This window comes from Homo sapiens, chromosome 2 (assembly GCF_000001405.40).
Source record: "Homo sapiens chromosome 2, GRCh38.p14 Primary Assembly".
NCBI classification, from domain to species: Eukaryota; Metazoa; Chordata; class Mammalia; order Primates; family Hominidae; genus Homo; species Homo sapiens.
In genome coordinates, this window is record NC_000002.12 from 174,554,011 (window position 1) to 174,573,405 (window position 19,395).

Genomic DNA, 19,395 nt, shown 5'->3' on the forward strand with positions numbered 1-19,395 from the left:
GTTTCTCATGTCCTTGCCTCAGCCCCGCCCAAAGACCACAGGCTTCCTGAGACACAGGCATTTTGCAGTATTGACCTGCATATCCTCAGCTGGGTTTACCTCACGCCGTCTCTGTTGTGAGAAGATGCGCGATAATATTTGTCAAATGAATGAAGACAATAAGGACAGAAATCCAATGAAAAGAATGTGACTGAAAGAGTCAGAGAGGAATTTAGTCTTGGCCTGTGAGCCCAACAGCTGTGAGGCCTTAAGTTACTTCCTCTCTCAGGCCTTAGCCCTGTACCTGTGACATGGGGATCAGTTTCTTCCTCCTTCCTCTTTCTGAGGGCTGCTGTGGGGTACAAATGACATAAGGTATGTAAAAATGCCTGAAAACTGTGGAGCCACTCTTTTCAATTTTGTTGAATATGATTGTCTTTTTGCTTTACTGAGTGTTAGGTAGTATGATGAGGCAAAGAACACAAGGTTTACTTCTGGCTATTACCGAAAAGCGAATCCTATTATTTGGTATTTAAAAGAGCCACATGGCTTTTCCAACTCCAAGGAGAGTGACAAAGAAATTTAGTACTATAAATTTATGATAGGAATGGTAGAAATATCCTATAAATAATGAACAGTACAAAGGAAGGGAGATTCATAGGAAAGCAAATTAACTAGGCACACTGCAGTTTGATTCTGACATGGGGATTTCCCGTAACCTGTAACTGCTTAATGAAATGACTTCTGGCTTCTCTGAGATCACCTTAAAAGGTAGCAGGTATCTGATAAGATGAGCTGAAAAGCAAATTTATATAATATCCTTTTTAAAACTTCAAGGCAGGGATTATAACCACCCCCTAAACTGCAAAGAACCAAAAGAAGTTGGATCACATCCAAGAAGCAATGTGTCCCAGGTGGTAAACGCAGAGCCAGTCCACAGTCCAATGAGGAAAGTGAGGACAACGGAGCAAGTTTTCCAGGAAGCTATGTTTATTCAGTTGAGCCAACTGCCTCATTCTCAAATGAGGTCTTCCATTGTCTTGGCTCACTAAGGTTCTTACTTATAGGAAATATCGGTATTTTTTTAAACTGACAAATGAAAAGTTGACAATGATATTACTCCCCATTCAAATTTGATCAGGCAGCTTTGAGTTTGAATTCTCAATCCACTTAAGGCAAGTGGCTTGAGGCAAATTTCTAATCCACTCAGGCTTTGATTTCTCTATGTATAATGATACAAAGATTGGCAATAATATTTGTAAAAAGCCTAGCTCAAATTGTAGTATTGGTGGTGGTTATATGAAAAAGAATGTGTTGTCATTTAGATACATAAATTAGGCAGTGTCTTCTTTTTAAAATTTTTTTTATTGTTTTAAGAGATGGGGTCTCTGGCACCCAAGCTGGAGTGCAGTGGAAGGATCATAGCTCATTGCAACCTCAAACTCCTGGGCTCAAGTGATCCTCCTGCCTCAGCCTCCTGAGTAGCTAGGAGTATAGGCACATGCCACCATGCCCGGCTAATTTTTAAAATTTATTTGAGACAGGGTCTGGCTATGTTGTCGAGGCTGGTCTTGAATTCCAGGGCTCAAACAATCCTCCCACCTCAGCCTCCCAAAGTCTTGGGAATACAGGTGTGAGCCACTGTGCCTGGCCATGGTAGCTTGTCTTGATGGTATAAAATTACTGTTTTCATTACTGTGTTAGATGTTTTTTCATTTTCCCATGGTGGCCTCCTTTGGGACTGTCCATGCTTTTGCTCCAAGAGTAAATCTCAAAGGAGCAAGCATGAGTAGGAATTTTCCTTGCATGCACACAGCCAGCCAAACAGCCCTATGTCCGTGATGAGGTGCATTCCAGAACCAGTGGTAGGATGGGGTTGGGTTGTACCTACTAGCTGAAGTTTTTATTAGATGTAGAATTTAAACTCACACTTGGTTCTGGGTCTAGTATTTAAAAACTTCCTATTGTATTATGTATATCTTTGTATTCCTAGTGCTTAATAAATTATAGTTCCTCAACTACTGTTTGTTGATGATTTGAATAATGTACAAATAAATATCAGGGAGTACAACAGCTCCATTAAATCATGTGGGTTTTTCCAATTATTTGCTGCTATTTGTTTCTGGAACTGATCTGAAATAGATAGCATTTTGATGTGTGACCTTTAACTTACCAAGGCAGACAGAAAACAGGAAAAGGGTGGGAGTCCCTATGACTAAAACGTTTATGTTAAGTCCATGATGGATATTCCAGGTGTTCTGGTAGGCATCTTCCTGGCCAAAATTTAAGCTGAATTTGAGCGCAACGTCTAATAACGGCTGGACTTGTTTTCCAGGGACCTCAAAGGTATTTTCTTAGATAGGTCATGTTCTGGGGCTTTTGACTCTAATGCAATGTGGGCAATGCAATGACCATGTTATTTTAGAGACATTTACAGGTCACTCAGGGAGTATGAAGGAGGCAAACACTTTGGCTCTCTTATATCTGTCACTCACAGGAAGCTGGTGGCTTAAAGTTTTTAAGACATTTGTTTTGGTTGAGTTCTCCACCAGAAGTTGAGCAAGGCAGAATTGCAAGGGCAGGTCCAGGTTTTGTGATGTCTGAAGCTTTAGACAATATAAGTTGTCCTATTTAAGAAAGATAATATAAAATCATAAATAAAAAACTAGATATGAAAATGAGTATGTAACTTGAAGCCCCAGCTAGGCACAGTGTCTCACACCTGTAATCCTTGCACATTAGGAGGCTGAGGTGGGAGCCTTGCTCGAGGCCAGGAATTTGAGACTAGCCTGGGCAATATGGCGAGACCACCCCTCTTTACAAAAAAAAAATTAAAAATTAGCCAGGCATGGTTGCGCACCTGTAGTCAGTCCCAGTGACTCAGGAGGCTGAGGCAGGAGGATTGCTTGAACTCAGGAATCTGAGGCTGCAGTGAGCTATGATAATGCCACTGCACTCCAGCCTGGGTGACAGAATGAGACCCTTTAAAATAAAAATAATAATAAATAGTTAGAAGCCAACCCCCCCCCCCCCGCCTTGCAACTGGGGGATCCTACAGCTTGAGCTTAATTAGCTTCTTATAAATGCACCTGTGTAATAATGGAAGCAACATTTTAAGACAAAGGTACTTGTGCTATAACGTTGATGAGTGGGACATTTCTAAACATTTACCAGTATGAGAAACACGTACATGCTAAATGTAACTCGACATAGACATTAAATGCCAAGTGTTCAGGCTGCAGGGAAGTGAGACTGGGGGAAGACAAAGGAGAAGGGAACTGGTGACTATTAGGTACCCAGGGAGCCTTCAGTTAGTTGGAATGTTTAGAAAACTGGGAATCCTTGAATTTACCTTCCAAATTAATCAAAACCCAAAAGATATAACTTATTGGTCATCAAAAATCTTTCCAAATACTGTTTTTTTCAAGGTTCCTGTAGGTTTAACAATTTTTAAAAAGCGAGTGTAATTTACCATGACATTGAGATTAGAAAGAAAGCAAATAAATTACTTAAGGGGGTAAGAACCTATAAAATATGTGTCTTCTCCACTAGTAGCAAGCCCTCTATGGCTTGGGTGACTGAAGTTGCCCCCATGCCTGTTTGGAATGGGTGCTGGCCTCCTTACCTGCCACTCAGAGATCACTTGACCACTACAGTCACGGTGGGGATACCAGTTAATAGGTCATTTGTGGTGAAGCTGGTAAACAGTAAGTGCTCAATAAAAACTTATTAAATGAATGAATCAAATAAATAATTCCACTTTGAACAAACGAGGCCAGACTTAAAGCAATTTTTATTCCTAAAGATTCTGCAACTGAATTTTGTCAAGACTTCTTTATTTATTTATTTATTTATTATTATTATACTTTAAGTTTTAGGGTACATGTGCACAATGTGCAGGTTAGTTACATATGTATACATGTGCCATGCTGGTGTGCTGCACCCACTAACTCGTCATCTAGCATTAGGTATATCTAAAAATATGGAACGCTTCACGAATTTGCGTGTCATCCTTGCGCAGGGGCCATGCTAATCTTCTCTGTATCGTTCCAATTTTAGTATATGTGCTGCCGAAGCGAGCACTTGTCAAGACTTCTTTGCGTTTGAGAATTCTGTCATGAATATGGCCTAGGTTTGATGGCAAAATGATTAAGAAATGAAATGGAGTTAATTTTCATTGAGTGCCTAACATATGCCAGGTATCTTGCTTGAGTTTTGCATATTTACTTATTTATTTTAAAATTTATTTTTTTTCAATAAACCACCTACAAAGCTTCTGGATGTGTATTATTTAAGCTTTGTAACCATTTTGCACTTGAGGAAGCTAGAACTCAGACTTAAATAATTTGTCTATGGCCTCACAGGGAGCAAGTGGCAGAGCCAGAATCCAAACGCAGATTTGTGAGTGCACGGCTTTTGCTGTGACGCTGTAACCTCTCATTTGGCCTGTTCTTTCCAGCCAATGTGAAAGACACATAAAACAGTGATAGAGAGAGGGGCAGGAAAGACTATGAAGATGGGACAGTACAGTGAGAAGTCACATCATTTAGGGCCTTAAATTGCCCATCTGTAAGCCCAGACGTTTGGACTGGATGACCTCTGAGTGGGGTGACCACACGGCCCCATTTTCCAAGGCAACCCAGACTTATACCTGCTTTGCCACTGCAACTATTAGCACCCCTTCCACTCTCAAAAATGTTCCATTGTGGATCATAAATTCTAAGGTTGCCCCATCTGCGAAGTTCTGGCTCTTAATTTCTGTTATTTCATACTGAACCTAATAATACTTCTCTGATGACTGAAGCACGGTAAAATTTCATTTTCCAGGCCTGGAGGTACAGGGAGGATGGTAGGTGAGGTGACCCTTATGTAGAAGTTGCTTTGCATTTCTGATATGGATATTTTTTCAATCTAGGAGCTAGTGCTCCTTTCCTTTAAAAGTACACTAGTAGATCCCCTTCTAGTGGATTTGGCTCCAGTTAATTTGGGATCATTATATAAATATTTGTTTCCTACTTCACACTAATAGTGGCTACTCCTTATTGAGTGCTTACACTAAGGCTAAATGCTGAGTGCATTATCTCATTTAATGCATATATTAATGCTATAAGATAGTTCCTCACCTTATAGATAAGGAAACAGGTTTAGTGAAGTGACTTGCAAGTAAGACACGGAGCCAGGTCTTCCTAAGCTCTTAGCCATTCTTCTATATTGAGATCTGTATGTATACATACAGCAGATAATTAAGAAAGTTATCAGACTCCTAAATTCCCATTGGCCTTTCCTGTATTTATCAGTATCCATGCCAGTCTTTGTAATTTCATCTTCCATTGCTTCAGCCATCCATCTTTACCTCCTAGTACAAACATCTGCCTCAAGTAAACAGATTTTGACTAAGATGCAGATTCTCGGAAAAAACGAAGATGGGATTAGCAAGTAGGTACAATGAATATTTACTTACTTATACAAACCTTTTTTTGTTTGTCTTTCTTTTCCACAGTTTAAAACCGAAAACAGACACTTGTTTTTTTGTTTATATTTACATAAACAATACTTAAAAGAAAAACCACCAGTTGACACCATATCATTCTGCTTTTCTTTATTGTCTGGCTAACTTACAAAGATGCAGATGTCTAGGGTAGTCTCTACCCTACCACTTACACTATCCTGATGACACAGATAGCAAAATGTGTCTGTTTACATAGTGCATGGTATGAAAAAAAAGTTTTTCTTCCTCTACGGTCCTTGACTATAAGGAGGGAAAAATTAATTTCATGCCAACATTTTTGGGGAACTTTAACAATCATCCCATTTCTGCTACTAAAATAACAAAACTGGTATTACACTTTAAAATATAAAGACCTAACAGTTTTTACAAATATGCAAATAATCTACTACTTAGACATAAAAAAAAGTTGATTTCTTTTAAATCACAAAGTAAGGCACCATTGGATTAAACATTTCTCCTGGCTTTTACTAAATAAAATGCATAGTGAAATAAATACTGAACACTGAGTTTTAATACTGTAATACATTTCAATATAAAATAAGAGGTGAATGTTAAAATACTGTATTACATGTTGAATACATTTATCTGAAAATGTTATAAAAAAACACACATGTAAGCTCTGATTTCAGGGAAGAAAAATTCATTTTTGTAATTTTCCATAGTTTAAGATTTTACCACAGAACTTATTCATAGTTTTAGATGCAATTAGGTTGCAAACTTTCAAAGAAAGGGTGTAGGTGTATTAATGAAACAGTCACTTAAACACTACATTCTAAAACAATCTATTCTGGATGAATGGCAACTTTGAGCTATCACCCTGTTTCAGATTTAGAACGGTACCTGCCAAGTTCAGATATGCAAAGGAATTGTCCAATTCTTACTACCCCTTATAAAATTCAGACCCACTTTCTCTGAGTCAGACTTTTCTCCGTCATATTTTCTAGGAAGGGCAAATTCCATCTTTTGTGAAATGGGTCATTAGGCTTTATCATAGGGATGTTTTTCACTGTTGAAATCAGATAAAAGAATCCCAAATAAATGATGCTGCTAAATTACCAAACTGCTAGAGATTAAAAAAATTTTTTTTTAAAAAGCCAACACTTTGCCAAGCTTGTTATACCTTATTATTTCTTGATTCTCTTTGAGTAAAAAGCCCAAATGACTGTATGGAAGAGAGATGAATGGTAGAGGAGAGAGGAAACACAGGTTCTCTAATGTACTAAATCAGGACTTTGGCAAGGAAGTTATAGAAATATAATATATTCAAATCAGTAACTTCATAATTTATTAGACATCCCATTTATTAGAACTCTAAGTTCTTTTGCTTTTATATAAATGAAACATTTATTCTATAAATAGAAATGTATTTTTCAGAATTTTCTTTGGGTTGGTTTCTTGGTAGCATCTCCCAGTAATACATGAATAACATACTGAAACCATGATACAATGTTTAGGTAGATATACATATACATATGTGGTCATGTGTTTTTAAAAAACAAGTAATGGTAATTTTAAACAAAACCATGTAAAATATCTAAGTGGAAATATTTTTTCCCAACTCTATAGCTAGATTTAAAAGTCCCAGTAAAATTTTGTAAACAAAATCATATAAGAAAAGGCAAGGCTGGCTCTTCCCTATGGTCCTTTAGTGGAGCTATATTTGCATAGATCCTAGACAAATGATGCAAAACAAATTCCCTCCAATTTCCACTAGCAATCTCCCTAATTCGCTCAACCCTTACATAAGCATCAGATTTAGATTTTTAGAGTTTTGCCCACCAACTCAAATCGGTTCCCTTCTTCTTCCATGTTTCTGATTTGATATATTTTCCTGACTTTTTTCCCCTCCTACCAAGCCTTCCTAGTCTCTCCCAGCCTCAGGAGCTTGCTCAGCCAGAAAGGAACAAAGGCTGCTTCCATTTCACAAGGCAGAAGTCCAGCTGACAAGTGGAGTGCGTGAGCCAGCTGGTTCTGAGCCCAGAAGTCCCGACAGGCTTTCCATTTGTTTCCAATGGCTTTATTCCACATGACTTTAGTAAACCGTACTCAATCAATTTCTGACCTTGGTACTTTGAAGCAACACTTGTATACAGATATTAAGGGAAGAGGGAAGTTAAGGGAGGAAAATCGAAGGTCAAACTGTGTGTCAAACAAGGTGCTGGGTCCTAATTTTATTTTTAGTTGCCTCTTGAATCGCTCAAGCCCATCTTGCCTTTTTTGTTTTTTAAACAAGAGGTTTCTGCACTAGCTTCCATCTTCCAGACTCGTGCTGTCTAATCCAGTAGCCACCAGCCACATGTGGCTACTGAGCACTTAAAAATGTGACTAGTCTGAATGGAGATGTGCGGTAAGTGTAAAATACACTCTGGATTTTGAAGATTCAGTACCAAAAAATAATATAAAATATCTCATTAAAATTTTATGTTGATTACAGGTTGAAATATTTTGGATGCATATTAACTTCACTTGTTTAAAATATATTAGAAATGTAAAAATTGTATATGGGGCTCACATTATATTTCTATTGGACAGCTCTGTCCTAGAGCCAAGCTCGGACTGCCAAAGATTGGACATCCTGTGACTGCAAGTTTCCAGTGAGCCCTTACTCAGCAGCTTGCTTAGGTGGTCTGTGGTTCATAGAAACAGAGAGGAGGCCAAGCATGCGAAAAAGGAACGGGAGAAAACAGCTCTCAGGGACTTTAATAATTACAGTCTGTAACAAATAAGCAGTGAATGTTTGAATTTGGTTGGTGGAAAGCTGGGATGCAAGTCATCTCTGCCTATTACGACAAAAGCCTATCGACCCCAGCAGCCAGCACAGGCAGGCTGCAGCTGAAGCAAGCAATAGCCTGGAGAATAAACACAATATGAAAAGCTAGGTGCATTTCTTACCGATTCCCACCCACACACGCATATTCCCACTCCCCCTCCCACCTTTCCTCCTGCCCATACATGAGGCACAAGGGAAGAAGCAGGGAGGAGGGTATGCAGTTCTTAGATAGCAACAGAAGCAGCTCTTGAGCTTGGGTAGAGAAGAGCAGGCAAAGATCACCTCGGGATGGGAGGGAGTGGTGGAGCACCCCTTTCTCTTCGGTTGGATCCACCTTGGTGAAAAAACAGACAAAATATAATTTTGGTTAGAAAGCTGATGTTCTCATCGTGGAAACTCGGGGATGGTTGCACGGGTACCCACTACCTCATCCCTATGACCAGGGCTGTCAGCTAACTGGCGTATGTTGTGGATGAGAAGTGAGAGGTGAAAACAAGCAAGTAATGTTCTGAATAAACATCATGGTGGGTGATCCATCACTGGCTCCCAAGTACTTGCACAAAGTTAAAAAAAATCATTTTCTTCTTATCACAGTGTGTGCTTATTATAGATTTAGAAAATATGGATGAGTAAAAACAAAGAACTCACCCATTCCTCCAGCACCCAGAGATAACCAATTATGTGTATATTTTTTACTTAGAAACAGTTCCCCGTTTTCTTCCAGAAATAAGATCATATAGTCAGTTTGAACATCTTTCGAAGGCATTACTCTTTGCAAAGATTATTAATGACAGTCTGCATTCCAAAATATGACTACACTACAGTCTACCTAGTCAATTCCCTTTTGTTGGGCATTTAGGTATCTTCTAATTAAAAATTAGAAAGCTTTTCTGACAGTAGCCATTCTAATGGGTGTAAAGTTGTATCTCACTATAGTTTTATTTGCAGTTTCATAAAAGTTAGTGATGTTGAACACCTTTTCAAGTACTCTGTCGATGTGTTCTTTTAAAAGTTATTCACGGCCCAGTTGCAGTGGCTCACGCCTGTAACCCCAGCACTTTGAGAGGTTGAGGAGGGATGATGGCTTGAGCTCAGGAGTTTGAGACCAGTCTGGGCAACATAGCAAAACCCTGTCTCCACAAAAATTAGCCGGGCATGTTGGTGTGCGCCTGTCCCATAGTCCCAGCTACCTGGGAGGCTGTGGTGGGAGGATCACCTGAACCTGAGAGGTCGAGGCTGCAATGAGCCAAGATTGCGCCACTGCACTCCAGCCTGGGTGACAGAGTGAGACCCTGTCTCAAAAACAAAATAAAAACCAAAACCAAGCTATTCATGGGCTATCAGTCCACTGTAACTAGGCTTAAAACCCATTCACATAAAAAAAATTCATTTACTACACAAACATTTGTTGAGGATTTAACAGGTGTTTGGCATGAGGTCAGGTGCTCAGATGTTGTGAACAGGTCTAACTGGGGCATGTGTCAATCAGGTAGGTCTGCTCTAACCACTGCTCTGAGACTCAGTGGGCTGGAACTGGCAGATTCCTCAAGTAGGCATCTTGATAGGGACCCTACTGGTCCACTTAGGGATTTCTGAGAAAGAACCAAATTTCTGAGCAAGGAAGGGAGTTAGGAGAAAACACTGAAAGAAGCACCTCTTCCTCTCACCATCCCAACCAAATATTTTCTTGGGCAGGCATCTGAGAAAAGACTCATCTGGATGTAAACCAGACACCTATCATGGGGCCTTGACCATCAACTGACCCGCCACAAGTGGTTAGTAGAATGAGGGCTGGCCTTGTCCAAAGCTGTAATTAGAGGGCACTCCAAGTGCATTCGGTACTGCTCAGGGCTGTCTGGGTGCGCTCTCAGGCTGTGGGCTTGGAGGCTGAGGCTGCTGCAGAGCAGAGGAAAACTTGGTACTCGACGGTGCCTTATTTATTTTTGTTAGATGATCCATTATCATTATAAAATATTAAACATGCCTAATGCTGGAAATATTTAAGGCAAATCTACAAAAAAATTTTGGTAGACTGTGGAAATTAATTCACCAATTTAAAAACTACTTTTAGGCGAGGCATGGTAGCTCATGCCTATAATCCAGTGCTTTGGGAGGTTAAGGCAGGGGACTACTTGAGGCCAGAAGCTCAAGACCAGCCTGGGTGACATAGAGATATCCTGTCTCTATAAGAAAATTTTTAAAAAGAAATACTTGAAAATGCCCTTTATGTTTCAGGCTCTGTGCCCCTCAAGGAAGGTGCAATAGTGAGCAGGACACAGTTCTAGTCCTTACATTGCCTACTCAAGTCTTAAAGGAGGATGGGAGAAGATATATGCTTAGCTATTCCATTAAAGATCTAGAGGGTACAGGGAAGATGGTCTATTACCAATTTAAAAATAGAAATAATATTTAGAATAAGAAGCAAATAATAAGTTAGGAAAAATATTTGGAGTCTATATGAACAACTCCTTAAAGTCAATTCATTTATTGGTGCCCAAGAAGGAAGAAGGGCTGTACTCTTATCAAACAGAAGCCCTTCTTCTGGTGCACACACACACACACACACACACACACACACACACACCATTCAAAGATATCTGTCCCATGTGAAAACTTACTTTTCACTAACACTTTTTTTTTTTTTTTGAGATGGAGTTTCGCTCTCGTTGCCCAGGCTCAAGTGCAATGGCGACTTCTGCTCACCGCAACCTCCACCTCCTGAGTTCAAGCAATTCTCCTGCCTCAGCCTCCTGAGTAGCTGGGATTACACGCATGCGCCCCTATGCCCGGCTAATTTTGTATTTTTAGTAGAGACAGGTTTTCTCCATGTTGGTCAGGCTAGTCTCGAACTCCTGACCTCAGGTGATCTGCCCACCTCAGCCTCCCAAAGTGCTGGGATTACAGGCGTGAGCCACCGTGCCTGGCCTTCACTAAAAATTTCAATCATCAACTCTTGTATAATAATTTTATTATAGCTATACTTCTTCATTAGGTATTGTCTATGAATGCAGTCTTCCACAGAAACAAATCTTTTCAGGAATTAAAGTTTTCCTTTTAAGCAGTAGTATTCTGTTTTCTTCTAGCATTTGTCCATGGAAATTTTCCTATATTTTCTAACTCTTTAAATTTTTCTACAGAGGCACAAAGCACAGTTTGACTCAATTAATTTAATTCCATTTAACCCAATAGAAATTCAACCCAACAGAAACATCTGGTGTTGTCCTGCGCTGTGACACACAGCACAGCCATGTTCCTGTCTCCTCCTCTGACCTGGGACTGCCATCTGTCACTTCTCTCCCATGTCAGTGATTTTGCTTCTCACCAGTCTTAACTTTAGCTGTTATTAATCTCCTATAAGGTTTGGAACCAACCAACCAAAAATTACTTTAAACTGTGTTAGGAAAGAATCAGTAGGCTTTGAGTACATGTAAGGTGCTCTGTTAGGGAGTGGGGCCATCGCTAGGGGTGTTGTGACATATTTGACTTGTTTGCTTAAGTTTTCTCTATTTCTGGTTTGGGAATTTGGCTCTGAGGCTAAGGCTGCCACGAACCTCAGCCTCATGGATGACATATGCATATTTCATGCTAATTCTTTCTTCGTTGTATACATTTTTTTTTATTTTTATTTTTTTTGAGATGAAGTCTCGCTCTGTCGCCCAGGCTGGAGTGCAATGGCGCAATCTCAGCTCAGTGCAACCTCTGCATCCCGGGTTCTAGTGATTCTCCTGCCTCAGCCTCCTGAGTAGCTGGGATTACAGGCACACACCACCATGCCCAGCTAATTTTTGTATTTTTATATTTTTAGTAGAGATGGGGTTTCACCATGTTGGTCAGGCTGGTCTCGAACTCCTGACCTCGTGATCCGCCCACCTCAGCCTCCCAAAGTGCTGGGATTACAGGCGTGAGCCACCATGCCCAGCTATTGTGTTTTTTTAAAAGTAAATTTCAGAGGCTTTCCAGCAAAACCCTGGAAAGCCTGCTAGACAAATTCTCAAAGAGCTGTAACACTTCCTATACATTTACTGTTATAAAATTCCAGTTTGTCTATTTTTCCTTTCTTGTTGACATTCTTCTTCAATGGAGGAAAAGCAATTTAGTTCTTTATGGTAGCATTACCTACATTAGCAGAACAACAGAAATAATTTAAATGTCCATGGTAATGGTAAATTACTATATGCTGAAATAAAAACCATGTGATAACATGGGCACTATTTACTAAGCAATGTTATGTAAACCCCGCCAAAAAACTGTACATCGTCATTATAACTACATAAAAAAACAGAATTATATGGATAAAAAATTGGATGAGAATCTGGTAAAATGAAAATATCTATTATGTGGAGAGATTATGGATATATTTACATTTTCATGTAATGCTCTGTAAAGCTATGATTACAATACGTTTAAAAGATCAAGGCAGTTAAAGGGAGTTTTTGTTATAATTAATCAGACATTATGCCAATTTCAAAACTAGAAGGAATAGAAGATGGCTCTACTTGTGCTGTCTCAGGAAGATGAAAACAGAGGAAGACGTCCAAAGAAGTAAAATAATAAAATTTAATACTAGCAAACCACGGTATTTTGAGCTTGTAATGACACATTAAAATAACTGTTTCTCATATGCATTCTGGGCATCTGCAATTTCCTCACTGCCTGTGGAAGGGGAATTTACTAGAATGTAGATGGCTCCAAAGGGTTCTCTACCCCACTCCAGGCAAGAAGCCTGGACTTTCTATATAGCCCGAGTGTCACTCAGGCTACTCAAGCGTGAATCTTCAAAAACCTTGGCAGAAATACTCACTCCGGCTTTCGTTTCTTGCCAGTTTGCTGGGATAACTTTTGGTCGTTTGTACATATGGCTCTGGAGGTGGCAAATCGGAAATCGGATGGAAGTAGAATCTGCTTTCCCACTCATCTGGGAAGAGAAACAAGCAGTATCTTCAGTGACAGACAATGTGCTATGAAGACTTACGTAACGAAAGGCACAGAATGAAAGAGAGAGAGAACCACAGACATCAGTGCTAGTTTTTATGCCTAGAAGTTTACAGAAAAGCTGGAAGTGCTACAAAGGTCACGAATTAGTACACTGACATATATACAGGCCTGCAAATCAAAGCAAAGTGGTTTTAGTGAGAGTGATTAGGATCCAGCCAGTCCCTCTTAGGAGCTGGGGGCTAAGGTATGGGACACCTTTTTCCCCATTGATAACAATGGCAGAGATAGGCAACTTAGTATCTGCAGGCCGTCAGGCCTCTTACCTACAGTGAACTGTTTAGAAATGTACATAATAAGAAGCTATAAAAAGATTCTTTTCAGAATCCTGGAATCTCTGGAAAGTTAACTAAAATGAGACCCAAACAAAGAACAGATCAGGGAAAAATGATCCGCCTTTTTGGGAAGTGGGGAAGGGGGATTACTATTTTTAATTTGAAATCATGGTGGGCCTTAGAATGGTTAGATAGTTAGATCAGTGCAATGGAGTGTGATAATGATGGAACAAGAAATTAAACGCAAACAAGCAAACCACATATACAAACAGATTTACCATTTAGTTGCTGCCCTATAGCCCAGGGAGCTGGGACCACACCTCACCTTCACATGGAGAGTCTTGGAAGCCATTTCTAATAGATGTTGATGGTGGAGGTGGGGGAGGTGCCCCAGCACTGGGCCTATCAGGAGGAAGGGGAGGCCTGGGTCCACTCCTGGGACTGTCTACTCCACTCCTGGATGGCAACTGAGGGGTAGCAGGCAGGGCCCGAGATGTGCTGCCGTTTCTGCTTACTGGAGGAGGTGGTGGGAGGGGGCCTGGAGCAAAAAAAGACACTTAGTGCAGAACCTTACATCCACATTCCATTACCGTGGTCACCATTGGTGTACAGCTGATGAGGACTTGCTGGACACATGCCCTTTAATTAGGGTGATTTTCTAGGATATTTGGCTGAGAAATGAGTAAACACACAGAAACACAAAAATTGCACATGTGTACACATGTATATGCAAAACAAGTGCATACTGATAGCTAAATGGGTGTTTTGGCTTTGAATTAGCACTCAGATTGGAGATGGCACAGTGAAATTGAAAACAGGTGAAAATCTGTTTACACGGACAACCGTATATTTAAAAAAACATTTTATAATCCTTTAAAGAGCTATTGAACTAATTACTGTGACATGATGAAAGAATTTTTTTAAAAAGAATAAGATAGTTATGAAATTATTTTAGGTCTTCAGAAGAACAAAGTTCTTTAAATGCATAGTTTTGTTGTTAATTACAGAAGCATGTTTCTGTGATGTATATGATCTGTTTCCAGGCAGAAGTGGCATCAGGAAACCAAATACCAGTCATCCTGAGAGCAGTAAGAGTTTCTTCTTGGTTCTTCCTCTTTGGGGAGGCAGATAAACACAGGGAGTGACAAACAGCTAATCAACATCCATGGCTATAAATGCTAATGTGAATCTTGACCCTGAGCAAGCTGGTACCCTATGGAACTTGGTTTCCTAGCTGTAAAAGAGTGCCAGATGGTCACCTGTCTCACAGCACTGCTGCCAGGAAAAACTAGTGAAAATGCAAATAAAAAATACTATGTAAGTACTTGAAACCATTTTTTAAAAAAATGTAGCAGTATGGTATAACCATAAGTTTTTAAGTTTCTAAGAAAAATTCAAGGAAATTTTTTTGATAATACAAAAGAAAACCATCTTGCTTTTCCTATCCTCCAAATGCAGGGGCTATTTGAGTAGTAAGTAAATTAAAAAAAACAAAACCAAAAACTTGAGCATTTTCCAATGTAAATCAAAATGGCCTTAGTAATTATGCCTGCTCTTCAGCAGTGTGTTCCGCTTGTAAGATGCTGACATTTTATGTGAATACAATGTCTTAAGGTGCTATAAATAAATATCTTATTAGCTATAGATTCAGAATCCAATTAGGAACCTTAAACTGAACAACCTGCCCACTGCAGATATCCCTGACAGAAAGTCTTGGCTCCAACATTTTACAGAGGTGGGAGGCACTGCCCAGCCCTGATTGGTCTCTCAAGGAGTCTTCAGTGCCTCACCTGGGAGTGGTTATTTATTACCCTATCTGCTTGTCATTGCTGGAGTCCCAGGCAGCAAGAGTTGATTTACTGAGGAAAAGTGTCTCATTTGCTGTGGTTTTAACTTCATTGGTGATACCACCACACAACTGTCACTACATGCAAACTCAACTTCCAATATTATGGGGCCCTGTACTACGTAACTTCATCTCATTTTCTTTTTAAAGTAAATGGTCATGTTCATGTTCCTAACTCTCCAACCTTGTGGCACCCTGCTCCAAATCCTGGCAGGCACAATAGAAAAGAAAACAGATTTCTATTTCCCACTGGCAGAATAACAGAAATGATCATTTATTGAATATAACTATATGCCAGGAAATAAGATAACCACTATACATGCTTGTCTCATTTAATTCTTATAACAACTCTGAGAGGTACAGGGATAGGAGACAAGGCCTCAGAGGTTTTGGAAGCTTGAAAAGCTCATCAGAAGACTGAGTGGAGGAGCCAGGATCTGACTCCAAATCTATTAGATTCCAAGGCCCACTCCCCATAACACTGAAGCCAAACAACTCAGAATACACAGGGCCTTTGATGAACTCTCATACGCTCCTTGTGGGAATGTAAATTGGTAGGAAATTCCTGGAAGGCAATTTGGCAGTACCTATTGAAATCCATAGTTTACTATGCACACTCACTGACCCAGATATTCCACTTATAGGAATTAATCCAAAGGAAATACAGAGATGTGTACACATATTTTGCTACAAAAATATATCACTGCATTATCTGCAACAGGAAAAATCTAGAGATGGCCCATATGACCAAGTGAGGGGATTGGTTAAATAAATCAAGGTACATTTGTAGGATTTAATATTAGGTAGCTGTTACAAGTCAGGCTGTAGAATAATCATATCAGCAAACATTAATGAGATACTGTTAAATAAAAAGCAAATTAGCAAACAATATATGTAGTGGGATACCAAGTTTGTAAAAACATGCATTTTAAAAAGACTGAAAGGACACATTAAAAGAATGTTATCAATGATTATTTCTGGATAGTGGTGGTAGAAGGATTAATTTTAATTTTCTTTATATTTTTCAGTATTTCTATAATAAACAAGTATGACTTACGTAATCAAAAGAAATAATAAATGTTATATGTCAATGCCTGTCATATTTTGGGGAAGATTTAATCTGCTGACTCATCCATTTGGTAGGGCCATGGCACAATGGTTTCAAGGTGTGGTTCTCACATTCTGCTGCACACTATAATCACCAGGGAGCTTTTAAATATCCTGATTCCCAGTCTGCACCCCAGACCAATTATGCCAGAGACTCCGGGAAGGGACCCAGGCATTGGTGGTTTTTAAAGCTCCGCAGATGATTCCAGTACGTGAGCAAGTTTAAAGAATGGTGATTATGAGGTTCCTGAGGTCACAGGGTCAAAGGTCTCTTATCTCTGCGTAAAGGAAAAAAATGCCCCATTTCCAGACATAATAAGGTCTGTACGATGAGATTCAATTTTAAAAGTGGGTGGTTCTACTGAGTTCATCCATAACCACTATAAAACGCATCAAGTGAGCATATTCTACTAAAAATGCCTATTATAATTCGGAGAGGGCAAACTCTAGGCAATCCTCACATTTCCTTTCATACTCTGAAAGTTTGTCCCTCAGATCAAGGTTTCTCAACTGTGGATGGGGGCATTGGAAGGGTCTCAGATGGGCTTCAGCAGGCTCTTCAAGCCATGTGACAGCAGGCAAATTTTGAGTTTATGCCTGAGTATTTTTGTAAAGATAGTCTATACCTTTATTTGATTCTCCAAGGGATTTATGTACCAGAGATTACAAAGAGCAAAATGGACTTTTTAAACATTAGTCTTTAATGAATAGGGAAATGGCCTCAAAGCCTGGCGAATGAAGAGAGAAGTACAGGAGAAGTTCATTAGCTCTTGAAGAACTTCCCCTCTTGTTGGAATAACAGAGCCCTCCTGCGGGAGGTGGGGACTTATTTTCCCAATTAAGACCGCCGAAATTCTCTCTAGGGAGGCAGGGTAGTGGACTGGCAAGTACACTTCAGAGATGGAAGATGAAAGTTCTTGCCTCTTCTTTATTAACTAGCTCGTGACCATTTAACTTTATTAGCTACTCAGTGTCCTCATCTCTAAAACACCAACAGAAATATTGGTCCCACTTTCCCCCGGGGTTTACACGAGGTCACGATCACACGTGTCGTGTGCCACTTAAAAGCACAAAGCAGTCTGAGTTTACTTATGCCTGCTTTTGTTAGACTATCTTGACTGACAGGATTATTGGTACATTTGGGCAGGCTGGGTTTTGGAAGCAACTCACTCCACGTCTTGTCATACCTGATCGGCCTGGCGGGTCCCTCACTGGAGGTGGGGGTCTCTCACTGGGCGGGGGAGGAAGAGGACCTGAACGTCCTGGCGAAGGTAACGGGGGCGTGGACGAACTGAGGGACAGATTCCGCTGTGGGAGTCTTGGGGTTTCGTCATTGCCGCTGGAACTTGGAGGCAGAGGAGGCGGCCCGGGCCTGCTGGGAGGTGGCGGCGGAGGTGGGGCCTGTGAGGAGGCCGAAGGCCGCGGAGTGGAAGGCACTGGAGGCTTGTTGTTCTGAGGAGGAGGAGGGGGAACCGCTTCCCTGTGGATGGAGGGCCTGTTGCCCACTGGAGGAGGTGGTGGAGGGGGTTTGTCATCCAAGGCCCTGCTGGGGGTAGGCGGCAGGGGAGGCCGGTTGGAGAAGGGCGAGGAGGAGCTCAAGGGGGACTGACGTATTGAGCCTCCTCCCAAAGCAGTGCCGCGGTTTCCAGGGAAAGGGGGAGGAGTGGGCCCGGGGCTGGGCTGCCTGGGGCCTCCGGGCACTGGTGGGGACCCCCGGTTGTGCGGACTTGATTGAATGGGTCTTGGAGTACTAGGTACTGGAGGAGGAATGCTATCAGGCTTTGAGCCCACGTCGGGCCTTGGGGGCGGCATTCGGTTCCTCTGAGGCTCTGGGGGACCACTTCTGTGGCCTGGAGAAGGCACAGGAAACCTCCCTGGGCCACTTGGGGGTGAAAAGGGTTTCGCAGATGTGGATCTTCCTCCCGGTGGCAACAATGGTGGTCGGCTTCCTCCAGAATCTGAAGAACAGGAAAACAAACATCAGTTAGGAAATCAGGAACCCTGAAGAAATCAGAGAGCTAGAGTCTGTTCCCAGTGACTGGAAGTCCCTTCCTCAGAGGGCTATAAAATACAGGAAACTATTATTTATATAAATTGGGTTTTGTTGGTCCTTCTTGGGAGCAGAAAATCGACCATAGCTCTATTTACCTGCGAGTCCCAACTTCTACAGCCTATGAGCTTTCAAAAGGATTCTGCAAATATCTCTTAGCATTATGTATAGGCAAGAGCCAGGATGAAGTGGGCGAGAGTTCTGGTGAGATGCCTATTCATTATGAGAGGACAAGAACAAGATGGCATTGGTAGAATCATGATTTTCATTTTTCCTCATCACCATCTCTGTCTCCCAGCCCTTGTACCTCTCAGTTTTGAAACTAAGTCAGCTGTCTTAGGTGAAAAAATTAATTATCCCAATGTAAATCTCCAAATGTGAGGGCTTATCTAGTCCCTATGAAGAGAAATGCCCCAAAAAAAGTGGAAAACTGTAAGGGGAAATTATAAGAAAAGAGTTATGACTGCAATAAGAAAAAACTAAGAAAGGAAAAAGAACCATCAGTAAAGTTTAATTGTAAGAGTTGACACCAGTGGATGGAATTCATCTACAAAGAAGCAGGCAACTACACAACTTTTTTTTGGTACCACGTCAACCTCTGCTTCAGTATTGGCAGGACAGAATAATCCCATAACTGCTCTGGTTCAACAAGGGAGAAACTAAAGGGGGAACCAAAGAGATGGAAAATTTCAAACCACCATCCCAGAATCTCTTGGAACTCAAGGTAATTCTGAAAAAAAAAAAAAAAATCTACCCATTTATGAGTTAATAAGTGTACCAAATAATTTTGAGCACTTGCTATGCGCCTGCCATTAATCTAGAGACTAGAGACAGAGGAGTAAACAGAATAGAAAAGATTCTGCATTC

General features: G+C 40.6%; 1 protein-coding gene and 2 pseudogenes across 19 annotated transcripts in view, besides 1 other annotated feature; all 3 read right to left on the bottom strand.

Moving 5' to 3' along the window:
* Positions 1 to 140: an enhancer, noted in NCBI's record as "active region_16775". NCBI's record gives its function as "activates an Ori minimal core promoter by ATAC-STARR-seq in GM12878 lymphoblastoid cells {active_cell/tissue: GM12878}" and the evidence as "EXISTENCE:reporter gene assay evidence [ECO:0000049][PMID:35858748]".
* RNU6-5P (RNA, U6 small nuclear 5, pseudogene) lies at positions 3,957 to 4,062 on the bottom strand (annotated as a pseudogene).
* Positions 5,564 to 19,395, bottom strand: part of WIPF1 (WAS/WASL interacting protein family member 1) — a 123,340-nt gene continuing 109,508 nt past the window's right edge. For 14 of the 19 annotated variants that reach the window (XM_047445756.1, XM_047445755.1, XM_047445749.1 and 11 more), the window contains 4 exon segments: positions 17,666 to 18,436; positions 13,851 to 14,063; positions 13,060 to 13,173; positions 5,564 to 8,592 (listed from right to left, as the gene is read on the bottom strand). In XM_047445756.1, coding sequence (XP_047301712.1) covers positions 8,537 to 8,592; positions 13,060 to 13,173; positions 13,851 to 14,063; positions 17,666 to 18,436 — 1,154 coding nt within the window. In that variant the 3' untranslated portion in view covers positions 5,564 to 8,536. 19 annotated transcript variants of the gene reach the window in all.
* On the bottom strand, positions 12,207 to 12,268 carry RNU7-44P (RNA, U7 small nuclear 44 pseudogene; annotated as a pseudogene).